This window comes from Homo sapiens, chromosome 17, assembly GCF_000001405.40.
Source record: "Homo sapiens chromosome 17, GRCh38.p14 Primary Assembly".
NCBI classification, from domain to species: Eukaryota; Metazoa; Chordata; class Mammalia; order Primates; family Hominidae; genus Homo; species Homo sapiens.
The window spans coordinates 19,396,030-19,418,018 of NC_000017.11; the positions used below are offsets into that span (position 1 = coordinate 19,396,030).

The 21,989-nt window shown below is 52.4% G+C and overlaps 1 protein-coding gene and 1 long non-coding RNA gene across 7 annotated transcripts; one reads left to right on the plus strand and one right to left on the minus strand.

The window, feature by feature from the left end:
• Positions 1-9,148: 9,148 nt before the first annotated feature.
• LOC124903947 (uncharacterized) lies at positions 9,149-10,900 on the minus strand. Its single transcript, XR_007065657.1, has 2 exons — positions 10,580-10,900; positions 9,149-10,263 (listed from the first exon to the last, which is right to left on the minus strand). It is a non-coding gene; the product is annotated as an uncharacterized LOC124903947 (long non-coding RNA).
• Positions 10,901-15,202: 4,302 nt separating this feature from the next.
• On the plus strand, positions 15,203-21,247 carry RNF112 (ring finger protein 112). Of its 6 annotated transcripts, none has more exons than XM_006721571.5 (14): positions 15,203-15,433; positions 15,601-15,641; positions 16,469-16,754; positions 16,909-17,115; positions 17,251-17,382; positions 17,548-17,652; positions 18,066-18,116; positions 18,420-18,476; positions 18,557-18,631; positions 18,717-18,858; positions 19,009-19,178; positions 19,257-19,310; positions 19,489-19,563; positions 19,676-21,247. In XM_006721571.5, exons 1-14 carry the CDS (start codon positions 15,380-15,382, stop codon positions 20,144-20,146), a joined length of 1,920 nt encoding a protein of 639 aa, XP_006721634.1. In that variant the 5' UTR covers positions 15,203-15,379; the 3' UTR covers positions 20,147-21,247. The 6 variants fall into 6 exon arrangements, with proteins under 6 accessions (XP_006721634.1, NP_009079.2, XP_006721635.1 ...); NM_007148.5 differs by having other exon boundaries at positions 18,741-18,858; XM_006721572.5 differs by having other exon boundaries at positions 16,912-17,115.
• Positions 21,248-21,989: the final 742 nt, after the last annotated feature.

Below are 21,989 nucleotides of genomic sequence, written 5' to 3' on the forward strand. Positions count from 1 at the left end.
ACATCTTTTAGGCCTCCATGGTTTTTCAAGAGATGTTTGTTGTCATTTAAATTGCTTTCCCCCTGTAAATAAAGCATTTTTGCCTAGGTGCTTTATATATTATTTTCTTAGTTTTTAGTTTTCAGAAATTTATAATGTGTTTTGCCATGAATTTTTGGGAGTTATCCTGATTAGGATTTGGTCACTCCTTTTTTTTTTTTTTTTTTTGAGACAGAGTCTTGCTTTGTCACCCAGGCTGGAAGTGTAGTGGCACAGTCTCGGCTCACTGCAAGCTCTGCCTCCCGGGTTCACACCATTCTCCTGCCTCAGCCTCCTGAGTAGCCAGGACTACAGGCACCTGCCATCACGCCCAGCTAATTTTTTGTATTTTTAGTAGAGACGGGGTTTCACCATGTTGGGGTTTCACCGTGTTAGCCAGGATGGTCTCGATCTCCTGACCTCATGATCCGTCTGCCTCGGCCTCCCAAAGTGCTGGGATTACAGGCGTGAGCCACCGAGCCCGGCTTGCTCACCTTTTTAATCTGTTGTTGGCTTATGTCTCTTGTCAAATTTGGGGAGTTTTCAGCCATTATTGATTTGAGTACTTCTTTTTGCCTCACACTCCTTCTTTCCTCTAAGGACTCCAGTGACACAAATGTTAGATCTTTGTTGTACGATAGTTCCCCAGGTCCATGAGTCTGTTCATATTTTTTCCAGTCTTTTTTCTCTCTTTTGTCAGATTAGGTAGCTCTATTGTTTTGTCTTGGAATTCACTGATTGTTCCCTCTGTCCTCTCCATTCTGCTCTTGAGCCCATCCACTGAGGTTTTTATTTTGATTATTGTATTTTTTGGTTTTAAAGTTTCCATTTGGTTCTTTATAGCTCCTTCTTTTTTTTTTCTTTTACTTTTCTTTCTTTTTTTTTTTTTGCTGAGGCTTTCTATGTTTTCATTTGTTTCAAGTGTGTTTGCAGTTGCTCATTGAAGCATTTTATCACAGCCATTTTAAACCTTTGTCAGCTAATCCTGACATCCCAGTCATCTCAGTGTTGGCATCTATCAGTTATCCTTTGTCATTCAGTTTGAGATTTGCTGGTTCTTTATATGATTAATACTTTTTGATTGAAACGTGGACATTTTGTATTATGTTATGAAACGCTGGGTCTTATTTAAACCTGTTTTTTGTTTGTTTGTTTGTTTGTTTTTTTGAGACTGAGTCTTGCTCTGTCACCCAGGCTGGAGTGCAGTGGCGTAATCTTGGCTCACTGCAACCTCCACCTCCCAGGTTCAAACGATTCTCCTGCCTCAGCCTCCCAAGTAGTTGGGACTACAGGGACATGCTACCATGCCTGGCTAAATTTTGTATTTTTATTAGGTTGGTGCAAAAGTAATTGTGACTTTGCCATTAATGGCAAAAACACTTACTTTTGCATCAACCTGATAGTAGAGATGGGCTTTCACCATGTTGCCCAGGCTGGTCCGGAACTCCTGGCCTCAAGTGATTCACCCACCTTGACTTCCCTAAGTGTTGGGATTACAGGTGTTGGCCACCACACCCAGCCTAAACTTGTTTTAGCTGGCCTCTGACACCCCTCTGGCCGGGAAAGGGGTGGCACTGCCTCAGTACCGCCAGGTGGGGGTAGAAGTCCAGGTTCCTCAGTTTGCTTCTGTTGACACTTAAGAGGGGGATTCCCTGTTACTGTTGGACAGGGTGCAAGTTTCAGCTCCCCACGTGGTCTCCACTAACACTGCAAGGTCAGGGAGAGCACCTGTAATGGCTGGGATGCAAGTCCTGGCTCCTACTTGGCCTTCTCTGTTACCACCCAGCTGGGGATGTTGGGACCCCTCGTTACTGCCTAGTCAGGAGGAGGTCTAGTCTCCCCATTCAGCCTTTGTGGCATGGGTGGGTGGAGCTGCATACTTTCCTGTGGCGTTTGGCTGCAGTAGGGTATTTATTGCCTAGGAATTTTCTGTCTTGCCAGGCCGCCCTTTTCCTGGTCCTTTGGCTACAGATAGCAGGTTTTGTTGAGGGTTTTTTTTTGTAGTGGCTGTTGGCATTTCCAGACTGCCAGCTTCTCCAGTACCCATTCTGGGATAATGAGACAAAAAGAAAGCCTAGGAGAGTCGCCACTGTCCTCAGTCCTGATGTCCCTGGCCCGCCTGCCTTCTTTTCTCCACCTTTCAGAGTCTTCTCATGTTTGTCTTGTACGTGATGTCCCAGGTTTTTAGTTGTACTTAGCAGGAAGTACAGGAAAAAATATACCTACTCCATCTTCCCACAAGTGGAAGTTCCTTAAAAAGAATTATGAGGCCTAAGTTACATAGAGTGACGTAGACCAGTATTTACAAATGTGTACCTGGGAACTACCACCCAGATTCCTAGCACCACAGCAGGCTTCCTGTGAGGAGTGACACATTTTTATTTGCATCTGTAAAAAATTGGGCTGGCTGCCAGGTGGAAAATGGATTGGTGGGAGGCAGGGGAGGGACTGATGGCCTGAGTGTTCTCAGACACCATCATCTGTCCCTGATGGCTCCTGTGGGTGGGGTGGGGTGGCCTGGGCTCCATGGGTCACCACCCTCCTCTTTGGCACTGGGTCATCAGTCAGGGTCAAGCAGTCCAGGGCTGCCTGATGTGGGTGGGGAACCTCTGCTCTTTCTGGCATCAGACTCATTGTCAGGAAGCAGAAGCACATTTCAGTTTTTGTACACCCTCTTTCCTGACCTCTGGGGTCAGCTGTTAATTTCCTGTTGCCTAACTGTACTCCACATTCATTTTGTCAGCAAACATGCTGTATTATGGATTGCTAAGGACATGACTGCTGTGGCTGCTTTGCTCTGCCCGGCCCTGGATTATGGTGTTGTGATAGGGAGAGCAAATGGGGTTAGAGAGAGAGGAAGAAGAAATACCATGTGTCTGCAAGAGAAAGAGACAGAGAGAAACAAATGGTAGAGACTAGATAGGAGATAGGCTTGGCTGCAGGTCACTTGGATAGCCTCAGTTTCCTCATCTGTAAAATGGAGCCAATATTTTCACCTTTAGAGAAATGTGGGGAGGATGGGAGATTCTGTTGTTACAAGGACTCAGCATATAGTAGGAGCCCAGTAAATAGACATGATCATTATTATCATTGTAATAAACTAATGGAAAACTGTACTTCTTTATCCATTGGATGTCTGTTCTCAGGCCTACTGTGTAAAAAGCCCTTCTTCTGTAAGAATCTCTTGGATTTTCCTTTGACAAAGAAAAAGAGGCGAGGTCTTGTGGGGGTTGGTCTGAGATCCAAGATGGGGCAGGACTGATGCTTGGGGACATCTGGGCACACTGAGGTAAGTGGCCCAGACTTGCTTCCAAGGCTGATTAACAGGGTAGCATTGGCCGGGCCCGGTGGCTCATGCCTGTAATCCCAACACTTTGGGAGGCCGAGGCGGGCGGATCACAAGGTCAGGAGTTCGAGACCATCCTGGCCAACATAGTAAAACCCCGTCTCCACTAAAAACACAAAAATTAGCTGGGTGTGGTGGTGTGTGCCTGTAATCCCAGCTACTTGGGAGGCTGAGGCAGGAGAATCATTTGAACCAGAGGGTCGGAGGTTGCAGTGAGCCAAGATGGTGCCACTGCACTCTAGCCTGGCAACAGAGCAAGCTCCGTCTCAAAAAAAAAAACAAAAAAACAAAAAACCAGGCTAGCATTTATTGAGCACCTACTATTCACCAGGCTTTCTGCACTGACCCTACATGGGAGTAATTGTATCTTCAGTTTTACCACTGAGGAAACTGAGCTTGAGTGAGAGAAGTGACTTTGCCTAGTGAGTTGAGTGGAACCAGTATTTGAACCAAGGCCTGTTTGGTGCCACAGCCTGGGTGCTGCCCAGAACGCACATAACCTTGCCAGTCAGGTTGAAGGATGGCATAGGTCAGTGGGCCAACAGAGGCTTACATGCAGAGGCCTGGACTGCAGCAGGCCTCTGGCTCCATTGTCTGCCTATCAAACCAGCTGCATGGGGCTGCCTCTTACTCCAGAGGGGTCTATGGGTCCTGGATCCAGTTGGGCATAGTCTGTGGAGGGAAGTTTGCTCCACAAGGGCCAGCTGGCCACATCTGTCAACTTCCTGGCTGACTGCCTGGATACTCCAGTCCCAGGGTCCTAATGGGCAGTATGCAAGTTGGAATGGGGGTGGTACAGCAGAGGAGAGGGGTCTGGAGCCTGGTCTCGATTCTGACTTGGAGCAGGGGAGATGATACCTAATGGTAGGTTGGCTGCCAGCAGCCAGGGACTGCTAGCCAGTGTGGACATCCAGAAGGGTGCTCAAGGTGTCTTCTAACTTGACTCTTATGACTTCCTTCTCCCCTGTTGTCCTCATCAGCTAGTGCCTCCCAACTTGTATGTCCTGCTTCGAACCTGCCTCTGAAGCCCACCTTCCTTCCTGTCCTCACCCTCCCACCCTCACCCCACCCCTTGTGCCCCATGCTTCATAGCTCTGGAGAGGCAGCCCATATTTGAATTTTGTCTTTCCCACTTTTTTCAATAAATCCAGCAAATGTTTGTTGGGCTACCCCAGGCCTGACTGTTTTCACTGTTAAAGCTTCAAATGAGATATTGGTATGAGGTTTGGGGAAGTAATTTAACTTCTCCAATTCTCTGTTTTCTCATCTATAAAATTGTGTGTGTGTGGGGTAGTGGGCGGCTTATATCCACCTCAAGGGTTGTGAGGGTTAAAAAGATGGGGCTCCAGTTATTTGGGCTTGGTGGCAGGCACCTGTAATCCCAGCTATTTGGGAGGCTGAGGCAGGAGAATTGCTTGAACCTGCGAATCAGAGGTTGCAGTAAGCCAAGATAGTGCCACTGCACTCCAGCCTGGCGACAGAGCAAGACTCCATCTCAAAAAAATAAAATAAAATTGGCCGGGTGCGGTGGTTCACACCTGTAATCCCAGCACTTTGGGAGGCTGAGGCGGGTGGATCACGAGATCAGGAGTTCGAGACCAGCCTGTCCAACGTGGTGAAACCCCATGTCTACTAAAAATACAAAAATTAGCTGGGCGTGGTGGTGCGCGCCTGTAATCCCAGCTACTCAGGAGGCTAAGGCAGGAGAATCACTTGAATCCGGGAGGCGGAGGTTGCAGTGAGCCAAGATCCTGCCACTGCACTCCAGCCTGGGTGACAGAGCGAGACTCCATCTCAAAAAATAAAAATAAAAAATAAATAAATAAATAAAATAAAAATAAAGTAAAGCTGTTTTTGACATGGCAGATAGATAACTGAAAAACTCCCTGCATAAGAGACAAAAATCATCCTTTAACATTTGTAGCCAAAATCAGCAAAGATCAATATGTATGATTTTGCTCTGTGTTGGTGAAGATATCCTTAAATTATACTTACCCAAGTGGAAACGGGGTAAGAATAGTAATATGTGCTACAGTGCTATTTGTTATAGCAAAATGTTAGCAATGCTCTAGATGTCTGTCACTAGAGGCCTAGCTCGAGGATGTTGTCAGTACTCAAAAGCGCCTAATGCAAAGTGGCTGTTGAAAGTAGCAAGGTGTCTCCTCCAGTCTGTCCCGGTGGACGCTCAGAATAATGGTTCAAGAACACAAATCTGTTCACATGTATCCCTGCTTAAAATAGTTTATGGCTCCACTGACATGCAGCAAAAATCCAAAAATCTGCCACATGGCCCTCCATCATCTGTTCCCTGCTGACTGACCTTGGTCCCCTTACCCTGCCTCTATCCTTCCTTCTTGCCAGCCCTCACCCTGTGCTCCAGCCGCACCCACACTGAACCTGCCCTGCCAACTCACTGCCAGGCCTTTGCACGTGCTGTCCCCTGTGTCTGGAGTCCCAGCCCTCAACAACGTTTACCCTGCTAACTCCCTTATCCTGCAAGACTGAGCCTTGCTGACTCCCAAGTCTGAGTGAGGGGCTTCCTCCAGGCTCCCACATTTCCCTGGGCAGCTCCTATACAGCAAGGGATGTGCTGCAAGGCAGCTGCTTCCTTGTTTGCACATAGTCTTTGAGCTCCTCAGGGCAGGGACCTGTCAAAAGACAAAATGACAATAAATTTAGTTTAAAGACCTAATTGGCTTTTATTTGAAATTTTAGAATTGGGCAACACCTCATTCTTATAAAACAGAATGATTATTTGACGAGCTGAACAGAGGAGATTGGCTTTACAGGCAAAAAGGGCTGAAGTAAGCAGACAGAACAAAAAGCAGACTGATTTCAAAGTTACTTTCCTTGTAAAAGTTAAAGCAGAGGGGACTTCCTATCATGCTGGCTAAAAGTGGCCTGTTTGGGGATTTGGCTATTATCTCTTTGTGTCCTGATTTCTTGGAAGATCAGATAAACAATTTAGTTTTGGCTTTGTAGCATGGAACTTCAGCATGAGTGAATCCTTTTTGGTTTGATCTGTTGGAGCTTATCCAGGAGCTCAATCCAGACCAATAACCTCCTATAAATCTTATTTAACAGACCACATCTTGTTATTTGTTGTAGTCTCTGCATCCAGCATCACTCTGGGTACATGCTTGGTACATCGGAGGCATTTCATAAGTTTGAAGAGCAAAGGGGAGGAGAGAGAAGGATGAGGAAGGGTTCCCTGTAGAAACTCTGAGCCAACCTGGGCCTGGGTGATGGGTTTCATGAAGGCAGGCAGAGACTGGCAAGGGTGTTCAAGGCAAGGAGAGTGGCTGGGGCAAAGGTGTGGAGGTGTGAATGTTGGGAGACCACAGCACACAGCAGGCCAGAAAGGAGGGGACGGCCCGGGATTGGGAGTCAGGGCATTTTATTTCTTCCAGGGCTGTCATTGGAAGGTTTCCTTAGCTCTCTAAACCTCAGTTTCCTCATTCAGAAAGCAGGGCTAATAGTCACTGTATTATGAGAATCAGTTGAGGTAGTAGGGCACATAACAACACATTGTGAGCCCTAAATTGCTAAGCAAATGTTGGATAATTGTACTATTATTAGTTGTTTCAGGATGCCTAGTACCAGATTGATGATGGGGGGCTTCAGAAGTAAAGCTGGGGAGCTCTGACTTCCTTCCAGCTGCTGATAGGAAGGCCTGGCCTTTGATGCTCACACAAGGGGACCTGGCACAGACACAGCTGTGGCGAGAGCAAGGAGGGCCACTGGGCCTGGGGGACAGGAGGAGGGCAGCCACAGGGAGCAGATGCTGCTGCACCTTGGGGCCAGGGTCAGGACCCGGATGGGGAAGGCAGCCATGTTGGCATGGACACCAGCTCACTACAGCCAGCAGCACCCAGAGGCCATTGGTTCAGCAGGACAGCAGGTGTCCCAAGCCCTGCAAGAAAGCAACGTACAGGCATGGACTAAGGGATGACACCAAGGGAGGGCTTACACACCTCTCTGTGACTGGCCCATCACCCTTACCTCTCCTCGCTTCACATGCTGCATTCCAGGTGAGCTGTTTATCTTGCAGCTCTGTGTCTTTGCATGGGCTGGTCTCTTTGCCGCACATGTTGTTTGCCTGTCCCCATTCCTTTGCCTGTCCACCTCATATTCATCCTTCAGATGCAGCTTTTGTGGGAAGCCTTCCTAGGTGCCCAGGTCTGAGCAAGGTGCCTTTGCTTGTTCCTCGTGCATCTCCCCTCACTCTACCTAATCAGAGAACTTACCACCCCGTACTTGTTTATTTTCCTTTCTGTCTCCCCAGTAGACTGGAAGCACCCTGAGGGCTCATCAGTCTACTCCCAGAGCCTAGTATGATGTCTGGTGTATTGCTCAATAAATGTTTGTAACATGGACAGATGGATGAATCCATGCATGGATGGATAAGTGTAAGAGTAGATGGTGGATGAGTAGATACACAGATAGTGGAGGAGTGATGGATGAAAAGATGTGTGTATGTGTGGGTGGATGGATGGAGCAAATCATGCATGTGTGCATGCGTGGATTGGTAGTTGGAGAATGGATGGATGAAAGAATATAAGAAATGAGGTCAGGTGTGGTGGCTCATATCTATAATCCCAGCACTTTGGGAGGTGGAGGTGGGCAGATGACTTGAGGTCAGAAGTTCAAGACCAGCCTGGCCAACATGGTGAAAACCCATCTCTACTAAAAATACAAAAGTTTCTACTAAAAATACAAAAAAATTAGCCGGGTGTGGTGGCGCACAGTTGTAATCCCAGGTACCCGGGAGGCTGAGGCAGGAGAATTGCCTGAACCCAGGAGATGGAGGTTGCAGTGAGCCGAGATTGTGCCACTGCACTCCCGCCTGGGTGATAGAGCAAGACTCTGTCTGAAAAAAAAAAAAAAAAAGAAAAAAAGAAAGAAATGAATGGTGGATACATAGATGAATTAATGGATGGATAATGAGTGCATGGGTGATTGAGTGAGTGGATGGATAAATAGGTAGATAATGCATTTATCTTGATGGATAAATAGGTAGATAATCAGTGCATGCATGGATAGATGGTTGGAGGAATGGAGAATGAATGAATGCATGGGTGGGTGAGTGGGCAGAAGATAAACAAGATGGTGACTGTGTCTTCCAAAGTTCAAGTGCTGGAAACTTAATCCTCAATGCAATGGTTTGAGAGATGGGACCTTTAAGAGGTGATTAAAGGTCACCTCAGGAATGGATTAATGCTGTCACCTCGGGAATGAGTTCTTTTATAAAAGGATGAGTTTGGTCCCCTTTCCTCTCTCTCTTGTCCCTGTAATGGCTTCTGCCATGTGATGACACAGCAGTAAGACCCTCATCAGATGCAGTCCTTTGTTCTTAGACTTCCCAGCCTCCAGAACCTTGAGCCAAATACATTTCTGCTCATTATAAATTACCCAGTCTGTGGTATTGTGTTATTGCAGCAGAAACAGGCTAAGACCCAGTGCTTACCAGGGCAATGCCCACAGTGCCAGGCTTCATGAAGGCCAGCTCCCAGGCTAAGAGGTGGGAGAGGACTGGGGGCGTTCCACCCAAAGGGACCTCTGATCTCATTGGCCCCCCGCCGACATTCACACATCAGGAAACAGGCCCAGAGAAGATCAAGGACTTGCCTGAGGTCACACAGCAAGCTGCGGTCAGAACCAGTCAGAACTCAGTTGCCTGTTTCCAATATTCTGCATAGACAGAGGCTGGACTGATTTTTATCCCCTTCTGAGGAAAGTGATGGCAAACTGAGACACAGCAAAACTACAAACTCTTTCCAAGGCTTATTGTAATAACTAACTTTATTTCTGCCACCAAACAGACCATGGAATGTAGTGGCTAAGAGCTTGGATTGGGGAGCCTGATGGCTTGGGTTTGGATTCCAGCTCTGCCATTAATAGCTGTGTGGTGTTAGACAAGTGACTTAACCTCTCTGTGCTTCAGTTCCCTCATCTATACAATGGAAGTGATATAGTACCTCCCTCATAGGTTGTGTTACTCGGGGTGAGCTTATCACATAAAGTGCTTGGAACAGCGCCTGTTGGGTAAGGATGTATGATGTGTGCGTGTGCGTGTAAGGCAGTAAGAGTGAGCCCGTGTGTAAATGTCCATGAGCATGAGGCCTGAAGGTACACACATATTTGTGTGTGAGTATGAAGGAGTGAGCATGTGAATGGATGTGGATGTGCAAGTGCGGTTGTGAGGGTGTAACTGTGTATGCATGTTTGTGTGTGTGTGTGAGCACTGTGGGTCTATATCGGGCAAGGTGGAGTCATGGATGTGCATGTGGCACAATGTGTGAGCACAGAGTGTGGGATACATGGAGTATTTTGACCATATGTGTATGGTATGTGTGAGGATTTACATGGAATAGTATGTTGGGGGAGGGCTGACCAGGTGTGTGCATGCATGCATGTGTGTGTGCGTGTGCGTTTGTGTGTGAAGCTGGCTCTTGCGTACATCAAGGGACTCAGAAACCTCCCCAAACAGGGTTCCAGTCTGTAAAACTGTATTTTTGACTCCTGAGGCTGGTTATTCCAAAAATGAGTCCACCTCCACTCCAACTCCCAGCCTGGAAGCTAGAGCCAGAGGTCAGGAAGTCAGGTTAGTGGCCTGAGCTGGGCCGCTTGTTCACAAGGATGGAAGAGGCAGAGGGAGAGCAGGTGCTGGGAGCTTTCAGCTTCAGGATCTGGAGGCCAAGGGCTGGATTTGGGCAGAGATCTGACAGGGTGGATGGCATGGAGCTAGTTGATGGTGCAGGGCCAGCCCAGCGTGCGCTGGGACTCCCAGGTCCATACTCCTTGAGTCTGTGCAAGGTCTCGAAGGTAGTGATCCTGTCTGGGTGAGTGATGGCCATATTCCTGGCATTTCTTTGCTGGGTAGAAGCACCTCACACCAACTTGGCCAATATTTGTTGGTGAATGAATGGACAACGGATGAAATGAGAAATAAGTCTGTCTCTAGGGCCTGCAATTCGCTCCCTCCCACAGTTCAAGCTCCACCCCCGAAACCCAGGACCTCCCCTCCCACCCCAACCCTCTCTGTGGACTCCATTCTCACTCAAGTCACTGCTCAGCCCCCAGCAGCACCCTGAGGGCCTGTCCACCTTGCAGGACCAGGCCTGGCTTAGTGTGGCTCTTCCTGTCCCGTTGAGTCCCTGGGGAAGGTCAGAGGCCAGTTAGGGGCACCATGAGAAACCTGTGTGGTAGCCTCACCATGGTTAGAAAGCAAGGAACTAGGCAGAGTGGAGTTTCTTCCATTCCTTTTCAGATTCGCTGAGGTCCACGTGGGGTAGTCATCCTCCTATGAGGGCCTTAGCTGCCAGGCTCAAGAACTTTGCAGGCCCTGGGCCCTTTGACTGTCAGGAGGACTCTCTCTAATCAGAGCAAACACATTAAAACACGTGGTATCCACAGCCCAGGTTGAGTTGAAATTTTTTGCCATTAATATTTTTCAAAGGATAGGATCATCTTTTGATAAGACACATTATTTATTTTGATGTCTGAACACTTTTTTTTTTTTTGAGACAGGGTCTCACTCTGTCACCCATACTGGGTACAGTGGTGCAATCTCGGCTCACTGCAACCTCCACTTCCTAGGCTCAAGTGATCCTCCCATTTCAGCCTCCTGAGCAGCTGTGCACCACCATGCCTGACTAATTGTGTGTGTGTGTGTGTGTGTGTGTGTGTGTGTGTGTGTGTGTGTATGTACAGACAGGGTTTCACCAAGTTGCCCAGACTGTTCTCGAACTCCTGAGCTGAAGCAATCCACCCACCTCGGCCTCTCAAAGTGCTGAGATTACAGGTGTGAGCCACCATGCCCGGTCGATGTCTCAACACTTTACTGCCATTACTTTCTCTGTTTTGGTCACCCTGACTCCTCAGAACCTAGCACTGTGCCCAGCACTTAGTAGGTGCTCAGTAAACATTTGTTGAATCAGTGCACTCATGACTTGAATCTGACTTTACAGATGATAACTCGAGCTGGGTTTACCAGCTAACATCATGTAAGGGGTACTGGGACATTAAACTAAGTGGGTGTTACTTTTGATTTTGAAATTTTCTTTTTGTGGTTTGGAGAGTCTCATTTTTCCATTAGGTTTCAAACATTCTCATAGACCGTAGACTCAAGAGACTCATGGAGCATAATGGATAAAGCGGGGCTGCCCATAGACATGGACCCAGGACCACCACACCTGGCCTCCCTGGGCCAGGGGTTCCCCTTGGGGCCCTAGATAGCATCAGAGGCCTCTGGCTGCAAAGGAGCAGGGCCCATCCTTTATCCCATCCTTTATCCAGGAGCAGGCCTGGTGTTCCTCCCGTCTCCTATCCACCTGGTCGGCCTGTACCGTGCCTTGGGGAATGCCCTCTTTTAGGTGCCCGGGTATGATCCCAAGTGGATCTGTATTTCCACTTGTGGCCTTGACTTCCCCAGCAGCACCCTCAGCCTCCCCGCTTGCCCCTCTAGTCTGTTGTCCATACAGCAGCCAGAGTGGGAGGGGCCAGCTTCCCAGGTATGCATCCAGTGCAGCCACTCAAGGCGAGAGCTCAGAAGGGCTGTGTGCTTGGGCTTCAGTGCTCTGGTCACCATCTTGAAACAATCATTTTAGCATTGAATTTGTGCTTTGTGAGTGAAGTCTGATGGGAAAATGGCGCCTTCACTGGGAATTCGGAAGCTGGTTTGTGTGTGTCCCATGTCCCACTGCCTCCCCAGCACAGGCTCTTGGCTGCCCACTCCCAGGCTCCCAGTGTCCCCACCTCTGCCCCACCATGGCTGCCCCCCTTCATCTGGAGGCCTGAATGCAGGCTCAAGGAGGACTGGGGACTGCTGGATTGGCCCCTGGCATCTTAGGGTGTGACAGAGTGGTGGCTCTCCCCTCCCTGGGCTGAAACTTAGCATAGGCTTCTCCCCGACCCCCAATCCAGGTATTGAGCGTGTCCTAAAATGACTGTGGCAATCTGGAGGGGCTGCCTGTTGGCCATGTGTGGAGGCAATGTGCCATTAGAAGAGGCAATGGACTTTCTTGCCTCTGGTGGGGGCTTTGCAGTTACATTTTTCACCAAATCCACAAATTGTATAGCTAGCCTGGCCAGGCACCATGGCTTATGCCTGTAATCCTAGGACTTTGGGAGGCCGAGATAAGCAGATCACTTTGAGCTCAGGAGTTTAAGAACAGCCTGGGCAACATGATGAAACCCCGTCTCTACAAAAAAATACAAAAAGTATCTGGGCATGGTGGTGTGCACCTGGGGTCCCAGCTACTGGAGAGGCTGAGTCTGGAGAATTGCTTGAACCCAGGAGGCAGAGGTTGCAGTGAGCTGAGATCACACCACTGTACTCCAGCCTGGGTGACAGAGTAAAACCCTATCTCAACAACAACAACAACAACAACAAAATTGGCCAGGCGTGGTGGCTGACACCTGTAATCCCAGCACTTTGGGAGGCCAAGGCAGGCAGATCACCTGAGGTCGGGAGTTCAAGACCAGCCTAACTAACATGGAGAAACCCCGTCTCTACTAAAAATTCAAAAATTAGCCAGATGTCATGGCACATGCCTCTAATCCCAGCTACTCAGGAGGCTGAGGCAGGAGAATCGCGTGAACCTGGGAGGCGGAGGTTGCAGTGAGCCGAGATCATGCCATTGCACTCCAGCCTGAGCAAGAGCGAAACTCCATCTCAAATAATAATAATAATAACAATAATTAATAAATAAAATTATATAGCCAGCCCTAAGAGTGAGGCTTCTACCATACATGTTTGCCCTGCGGGATCCCTCCTGAGATACTGACTGGTGAAGTCCCTATCCCCTCCTTTGGCCCCTGAGGGCCTGCATGACCCAGGCCTGCTCTGCCCTTCACCTTGGTGCACCCATCTTTGCATCAAATATTCCTGCCAGGCCAGCCGGACCTCCTTTGTTCCCCAGAATGGGTTCTGTGTCCCCTCTCCTCTGGGCCCTGTACCTGTGGTTTGCCCTGCCTTGACAACCTTTTTCTACCTCCTTGCTTATCAGGACAGCCTGACACCCCTCCTCACCCTCCCCGCATCCAGGTTCTCACCCAGATCATAGCAATGCCTTTTAATTGTCCAGTTGGGATCTTGGGGAGGATGGAGCTTTGTCTCTCTTGTTTCCAGCTGTACTGCAGTGTGAGACACAGTACCTGGTGCTCAGTAAGTATCATTAAGTGAAGACTGATTGTCCCATCTGCTTCCTCACATCTTTGCCTGGTGATGAGCAAATGGAAGCTCAGAGAGGGCAGTGACTCACCAGCATTTCATGCTGGGATGGAGGCAGGTTTAGAGCTTGAATCTGAGTCCAGCGCCCACGCTTTCTCTCCTGCAAGGATGAAAGGCTACAGGGGTTGAGAAAACCCTCCCTTCTGCCCTGAAGGCAGAGCTGTGGCACGGCTCAGGCTTGCTTCCTCATCCCCTGAGTGTGAGGCTTTGCTGCCAACACACAGGGGCTTGTCCCACCTGGGGCAGGAGGAGGCAGAGTCTATGGCACTGCTTCTCTGAATCTGATTGATTCAGCCCCACAATCTCAGGCCCTCCAGACACCAAAATGAACAAGATCCAGCCCCAGCTTCAGGGGTGTCTCCACCTGCTGAAGGTGGTCTCTGCTGAACTTTTCTAGGTTCTGAATCCCACCTCACCCCAACCCTTCTGCATCCTAGCTCATAGGATGTACGAATGACTCCCGTGCCTGGACTAGTGGCTTTACATAGGTAATGGTGGCTCCTCAGAGCACAGAGAGGTGCAGTGGAGTCCCAGAGCCCCTGAGCCGAGAATCAAGCCCAGATCTGCCTGGCTCTGAAGCCTGGGCTGCGCCAAGCCTATCACATATCCCAGCCCTCAACTGTCCAAGAACAAGACCGCACCCAGTTGGGAGGGGTGAGGAAAGGAGGCTCTAGGGAGGCCACAGCACCTGCACTGGGCCTAAGAGGGTGTCCCAGGAGGGATGAGAAGGAGCAGAGCAGCCAAGCCAGGGTGCAGAGGCAGGGAAGAGTGGGGCGAGAGAAGGGTGGAAGGAAGGTTCAGCCCAGTCCGCAGGCCGGAGAGTTTGGATTTTGATCTGATGGTAGTAGGGAGACACAAAAGGTGTTTGCGCAGTGTGAGGTCATCTGTGCTTGGGGAGCCTATGCTGGCTGTGCACTGGGGAGTGGAAGGGAGGCAAGGAGCCCAGTCAAGAGGCCATTAGAAGGTCCAGAGGTGGCTCATAGTTTTGATAGATTTCATCCTGCTCAAGTTTGAGGCAGAGTGAAAGCTATTGGGAGGGAAATACACCAGAGGACACGGAGGGCCCATGAGTGCTGAAGAAGGCTGCAGCTGGGTTGGGCGTCGATGACATAAACCTGAGAGAGAGCAGGAGGATGTGCAGGGCCATGTGAAGTAGGGTCTGCATTTGGGGGCTCTGTACATAGTAGGTACTCAGTAACTGTTCATTGGATGAATGGATGAATAACTCCTTGTCTCTGGGTCAGCTCTGGTCTTACCCTCTCCTGTTTCTCACACCTCTTCTCTTTGCCCACCCTGTCCTGTGGCCCTGGGGAGACCTCAGCTGGCCCAGTAGAGGCAGTGCTGGCCCATGGTTCTGCCGGAGGCGCCTCCATGTTTGCGGGTGCACCGCACGCCTTCTCCCTCTCTGTCCCCCTCCCCCTCCCTGTCCTTATCTTTCCCTTCTGTCTCCATGGCGACTCACCACCTCGGCTTGCCTGCATCCCAGCCTCTGCCAGGGATTCTGAGCCGGGCTCCATCCCTCCCTCCTCGGAGCCCTGCTACCCGCAGCCGTGTCTCCTCCCCCTGGGGTGAGTCCAGCAGCAGCCTCCTCTTTCCTGACTGTCACATTTCTTTTCCAGCTCTGACCGGGAGTCAGCTCCTCGGGGATACCATCCCCCGACCTCACCTTCTACCTACCGCAGCCTGCTAGCCTTTCCGGGAGAAAAGGCATCCTTACCTCTGGTTGAAGGTCTCGGGGCCTCCCCCTCTGCATCCGGACCCTCTCCCCATCCCAGCCTCCCATGCCAAGGCCCGCCTTGTCAGTCACTTCCTTTTGTCATCGGCTTGGCAAACGGGCAAGTCTTCAGTCCTAAGATCGGGAAGGAGAGTGGGGTGGGAAGGGCCCTCCTTGGGCTGGGGGATGGGCCGGGGGTGGGGAGGATGAGGGGTCCCTGGAAATCCAGGGTGAAGATAGAAGTCTGGATTATGTTCTAAATCTTTTTTTTTTTTTTTTTTCTCCAAGGAGAGAAAACAGAGCTTCATGGGAAACAGCGGCAACAGTTGGTAAGTAGCAGGGCCTTCCAGGCTGGGATGGGTGCAGTGAGGCCAGGCAGGTCAGTTGAAATGGCCGGTCCTGGAACACAGAGCCCGGCAGCCCAGCCGGGAGGGCTGTCCGCCTGAGGCTGGATCCGCCAGGCTGTGGAGGGAGGGACAGGAAGAAGCAGGTGGGTGCTGCAGGGAGGCAGATGCCAGCTCAGAGCAGAGAGCGGAAGGAATCTTCTAAGATCCAGAGCCATCTGCCCAACTGCAGCACAGGCTGATGGCTTCTCCTCACTGTCCCTGTAGCATGGGGTTGTGGAGGGTATCATCCCTGGGGGCCTGGCTGAAGTCAGCACCTCATGGAGGGAGCCCCGCTGTAGAACGCCGGGAGAGGCTCTTCCCAAGCATTTGCACCAGGCACTGTGCAGACAGCTGCACACGCCTCCTCTCGGATGGCCACCCCAACGGCCCCATGAGGGGTATTGCTATCCTCTCCATTGGGACAGTTAGGAAATTGAGGCCCAGAGAGGGGAAGGAACTTGCTTGCATTTGCATGGCTGGGATGTGGTGGAGTCCATTCCACTCAGATTTTCTCCCTCTCAGACTCTCTCACCATTGCTCTGCTGCCCCCACTCTGAGGCCCCCAGGTCCTAGGACACATGTCAGTGAGGAACGGGCAGAGCTTGGCCTCTCTGGGAGCAGCTCCGCCTGTCCATGGAGGCACTGATGGAAATTGGGTTGGCACAAAGGGACCTCCACTCCCAAGCCATCAGTCTTCCACCACAACCCTGGCCGGTACCCCCTGCCCCCAATAGACATCCTGCTTTTCAATGGCCTGTTTTGCCCCACAGGTCCCATACACCTTTCCCCAAGTTGGAGCTAGGCCTGGGGCCCCAGCCCATGGCGCCCCGGGAGCTCCCTACCTGCTCCATCTGCCTGGAGAGGTTGCGCGACCCCATCTCGCTGGACTGTGGCCACGACTTCTGCATACGGTGCTTCAGCACACACCGTCTCCCGGGCTGTGAGCCGCCCTGCTGTCCTGAGTGCCGGAAGATATGCAAGCAGAAGAGGGGCCTCCGGAGCCTGGGCGAGAAGATGAAGCTCCTGCCGCAGCGGCCGCTGCCCCCTGCACTGCAGGTCTGGGGACTGGGCCTAATCAGTCAGACCCAAGAGGAGGGGGTGGCTTTGGCCCTATTCTAGAACATCAGGACACAGAGCTCCAGGCTGAACACATTCCAGGGTCAGGAGCTGGTCCTGGATGCTCAGGGGCCCCTCTCTTCTCCTGGCCCAGGAGACGTGTCCTGTGAGGGCGGAGCCGCTGCTGCTGGTTCGCATCAATGCCTCTGGGGGCCTCATCCTTAGGATGGGGGCCATCAACCGCTGCCTGAAGCACCCTCTGGCCAGGGACACCCCAGTCTGCCTCCTCGCTGTCCTGGGGGAGCAGCACTCAGGGAAGTCCTTCCTCCTCAACCATTTGCTTCAGGGCTTGCCGGGCCTGGTGAGGGCGGGGCGGGGCAGGAGGGAGGCGGGGAGCAAGGATGGGGGTTCCTGCCTGGGGGAAGCTGGGTCTGGTATTCCGGTCTGTGGGGACAAGGAACCGACCAACTGATGCTCTCCCTTCTCTCCCCTGCAGGAGTCTGGTGAGGGCGGCCGGCCAAGAGGAGGAGAGGCATCCCTGCAGGGCTGCAGGTGGGGCGCCAATGGCCTCGCCAGGGGCATATGGATGTGGAGCCACCCCTTCTTGCTGGGGAAAGAAGGGAAGAAGGTGAGGGGGGAAGTGGCAGAAGGAGGTCAGGGATGGGAAGGGGAATCAAGAAGGGCGTCTCTGGGGTGAGGATAGAAGATGGGGATGGGACGGGGCAGGGTTGGGAAGAATGTGGGAGAACAAGGCAGGCCTGGCCCCTTGGGTCTTTCCCTACCCCCTGCATAGGTGGCGGTGTTCCTGGTGGACACAGGGGATGCCATGAGCCCTGAGCTGAGCAGGGAAACAAGGATCAAGCTCTGTGCTCTCACCACGATGCTGAGCTCCTACCAGGTGATGGGGGGCGCTGATGTTGGCATCCCCACCCCACACACCCTTCTCCAGCTCAGCTTCCTCAAGGCCAGAGCATCTCACAGGCTTTGGTGTCTGGGGTCCTGATAGGTTCTGGGGCTGCCTTAGAAGGGGGAAGGTGCTCCTAGTTGGTGAAGGTGGGAACGTGGGTTATTCCTAAAAGTGGGCTGATGGTCCCAGGGGCAGCTGAAGACCTGATGGATCACATTACCCTCCAGGCTTGTCTCCGGCCTTGAGGCCAGCCCAGCCCTGCAGCCTTCGAGGCCCCCATACTGGCCTCTCCCATACTCTGAGGCCCACAGGCTGCCTGCGAGCTCCCTACTCACCAGGGCCTTCCCCAGTGAAGTCACCCGGCCTCTGTAATCTCTCATACATGTTGTTCTCTCTGATTCCAGATCCTCAGCACCTCCCAGGAGCTGAAGGATACAGACCTGGACTATCTGGAGGTAAAGAGACCTCTGATGTTGGGGCATCCCCCACCCCCACCCTCCCCACTAGGGCTGGACCCAAAGGAACTAGGTGCCCTCCTGGTCTGGCCTAGGGTTTTATGACACTTGAACAGGGTTGAAGGGGGAGGGTGGAGAGTAAAGCAAGAGATGTGTGGTCTGGGGAGAGGCAGGAGAACCCCAGGCTGCAAAAGGGGGAGCCTAGCTCCTACAGCAGGCGTAGGGAGGTGGGGAGACAGGCTTGGGGTGCACCATAGTCCTCAAAGTGGCCCAGCCCTGACGCTTTCTGTGTCCCACCCCCAGATGTTTGTCCACGTGGCCGAGGTGATGGGCAAGCATTATGGGATGGTGCCAATCCAGGTGAGACACCTATCTCTGGATTCATTGGCCCCAGGCCCCGCCACCCCCATTTGCTGGTGTCAGGACCCCTTCTCTTTCAGCATCTGGACCTCTTAGTTCGTGACTCATCCCACCCCAACAAGGCAGGGCAGGGGCATGTAGGCAACATCTTCCAGGTGAGTGGTGCAAGGGGATGGGGTGGAGGGGCCATGGACAGGGCAGAGGTGGGGAAGACATGGGAGGCTGGACCTCCTAGCTCAGAGCACTCCTCTCGCTGCCTCACAGAGATTGTCTGGCAGATACCCCAAGGTGCAGGAGCTGCTGCAAGGGAAGCGAGCCCGTTGCTGCCTCTTGCCTGCCCCAGGGAGGCGGCGGATGAACCAAGGCCATGCAAGCCCTGGTGGTGAGTGTCTCTGAGAGCTGAACCTCTCTTGCGCTGCTCCCAGCTCCCCTCCGGCAACCGAGCCCCTTGAAGCACCCACCTCTCCTGGCCTCTGACACCCCTTCTCCTCCCAAAGCCCGCAGTCTCTCAGCATGCACATCTCTCCCTCAGACACAGATGATGACTTCCGCCACCTTCTGGGGGCCTACGTCTCAGATGTGCTGAGTGCGGCCCCCCAGCACGCTAAGAGCCGCTGCCAGGGGTACTGGAACGAGGGGCGCGCCGTGGCCAGGGGGGACAGACGCCTACTCACGGGGCAGCAGCTAGCTCAGGAAATCAAGGTGTGAAAACTCCCTGGAGACCCAGGCGACTCGGCTGGGCCCCTGCTCTCCCTGACCCCAGCGATGGTATCTCCGCAGAACCTCTCAGGATGGATGGGGAGGACAGGGCCCGGTTTCACCTCTCCGGATGAGGTATGAGCGCTGGGGGATCCAGCATTCTGGCAGGGAGACAGGGGAGGCAGGGAGGTGGGGGCTGTGCCGAGGCCTCCGGGGTGGGGGTCTGTGTGCCCTGGGAGTGGAGATGAGGAAACAAGCAGCGCCCCTGGCTGAGAAGGAAGGAAGGAGGCAGCCTGGGTTTTCCCGTGGACAGATGGCTGCTCAGCTGCACGACCTGAGGAAGGTGGAAGCTGCCAAGAGGGAGTTCGAGGAGTATGTGAGGCAGCAGGTGAGCCCCGGGGCTGCACGGGAGGCAGGTGTGGGCCGGGCAGGGTCCAGATCAGGGAGAGGATACCTGGGACTCCTGGTCAGGGCACCTTCTTTTCCCCTCCCTGTCACAGGACGTAGCCACCAAGCGCATATTCTCTGCGCTGCGGGTCCTGCCAGACACCATGCGGAACCTCCTCTCCACCCAGAAAGATGCCATTCTGGCCCGCCATGGTGTGGCCTTACTCTGCAAGGGGAGAGATCAGACCTTGGAGGCACTGGAAGCTGAGCTGCAGGCCACGGCCAAGGCCTTCATGGACTCCTACACGATGCGCTTCTGTGGCCACCTAGCTGCTGTGGGGGGTGCTGTGGGGGCCGGGCTCATGGGCCTGGCAGGGGGCGTGGTGGGTGCTGGCATGGCAGCAGCTGCACTGGCTGCAGAGGCTGGGATGGTGGCTGCTGGAGCTGCCGTGGGGGCCACAGGGGCCGCTGTGGTTGGGGGTGGCGTGGGTGCTGGGTTGGCTGCCACAGTGGGCTGCATGGAGAAGGAGGAGGATGAGAGGCTTCTGGAAGGGGACCGAGAGCCCCTTCTCCAGGAAGAGTAACAGCCCCAGGAGGTATTGAAGGACAGGAGAGATGTCAGGTGGGGATGAAGAAGAGGGGCAGGTCGGGGGAGGGTGATGCCAGGGATTCCAAGGCACCGCCATGTACTGCACTGCCCTGGTCGAATGCTCGGTGTCTGGGTGGCAGCTGAGCTGGGACTCAAGGTGGCTCTTGGAACCTGGGAGGCAGCATCTGGGGGCAGTGGATAGAACACCCGGCCTGTTTCTGGTTGCAGATGGTTGCCGATCTGCCCTTGTCACAGATAGGCTACATCCCAGGGTTTCTGGCTGCAAGTGAGACTCCACCCTCCCCACCTGGCTCATTTCCCCGATGACCCTGGATTGTAGGAAAGTTAAGCAGGCACCATCCTGGAAGTCTACCCCTAGGTGGTCGAGAGACCTGTTCTTTCACAGATGTGAGAAGCCCCAGGATGATTGACCATGGTGTTCAGGAGCGGGGAGCACTGATGAGGTGCTGGGGATGACAGGAAGGAAGGAACACTGGGCAGAACCAGAGAGATGGGACATGGTAGACTGTGGCCCAGACCCCAGAGCAGAGAAACTTGTTCCCATGACCCTTCCCAAATCTGCTCCAGCAGGACTAAGGTGGCTTTCCCACTCCTGGCCCACAGCCCCAGAGAGCCTGTCTGTGCATCCTGAACCACTCTTTGCTGGGCCTCCGCAAGGGCCTCTCTTGGGTCTGTGTCCTTTTTCAAGCCTGTTTAGATGGGGGAGTGCCCATGCCCTCTGTGAAGTGCCCAAATGCGAAAGAATAACACCTTTTCTTGCATTCTGAGCTAAGCCAGACAGCCTTTATACTAGATTCTATCAAAATCTTGCAAAGGAAAACAAAATGAACAACTTCTACCCTTAAACACATCCTTTCTCCCCTGGGCTTGTAAGAAGATGCAGCTTGATGCAGCTCCTCAAACACCAGGCCCCCTGGGAACTGGGGGTGCGGGAGTTCTCCCTCTGGGGGACAGAAAATCTGACTACTAGGAAGACTTCTAGGCTATGAAACTGACTTCTAGGCTATGAAACTTACAGGGTATGGGTGGGCACATTATCCTTTATTTTATGAAAAATAAAATGTGTGTATGTGAATGTCAGCTTCCCAGTATATTATTGAAACAGAATTTAACCCTCAGATGACTTCATGGTGGGAGCAGGTGAACCAATGAGATCCATTGCTGGAATGCACAGATGGGAAGAGGGAGATTGGAATTCAAGAGATCCAAGGAAGTGAACGTCAGAGGTCCCCATTCAGTGGCTGCAAGAGGCCTCAGGCCAAGGCCAAGTGGATATGGGCACCTTTGCAGGCTCTTCCACTAGGACTTGGGGTTCCGCTCCTCTTGTCTCCTCTCTGAGAAACTGCTTCCCATGATCCTGTCAACAGGCAGTCAACAAGCACCTGTCCCAGCAAGAGGACAGAATGGATACATAAGCAGAGAGAACTTGGTCAAGCCTTGAAGGAAGGAGAAGCCCAGGACCACTTCTGCAGGGCTCAGCCAGCCAGGAGTTCACCCAACTGATTCTCCTCCCAGCCCTGCTCCCCAGCTCCCCAGCTCCCCATCTCAGAACCACAGCAGTAGTCACTGCATCCAATCCTGGCATTTTATAGGTGCACACCCAGAGAGAGAAAGTCTCAGATAAGCCTGTGCAGCTGCTGATGACAGAAGCAGGGGAACCCCGAAGTCCTGGTTCCCAAGCTGGTGCACTTCCTGAAGTTATTTTGTTAAGGTCGACTGTGCTGAAATTGAGATGCTCCTTTTCAGATGCTTCTTCTGGCTGATCAGGTCCAGCTCCAGGGAAGTGTGTGGTGGGCAGAGGCAGCAACGTGGTCTAG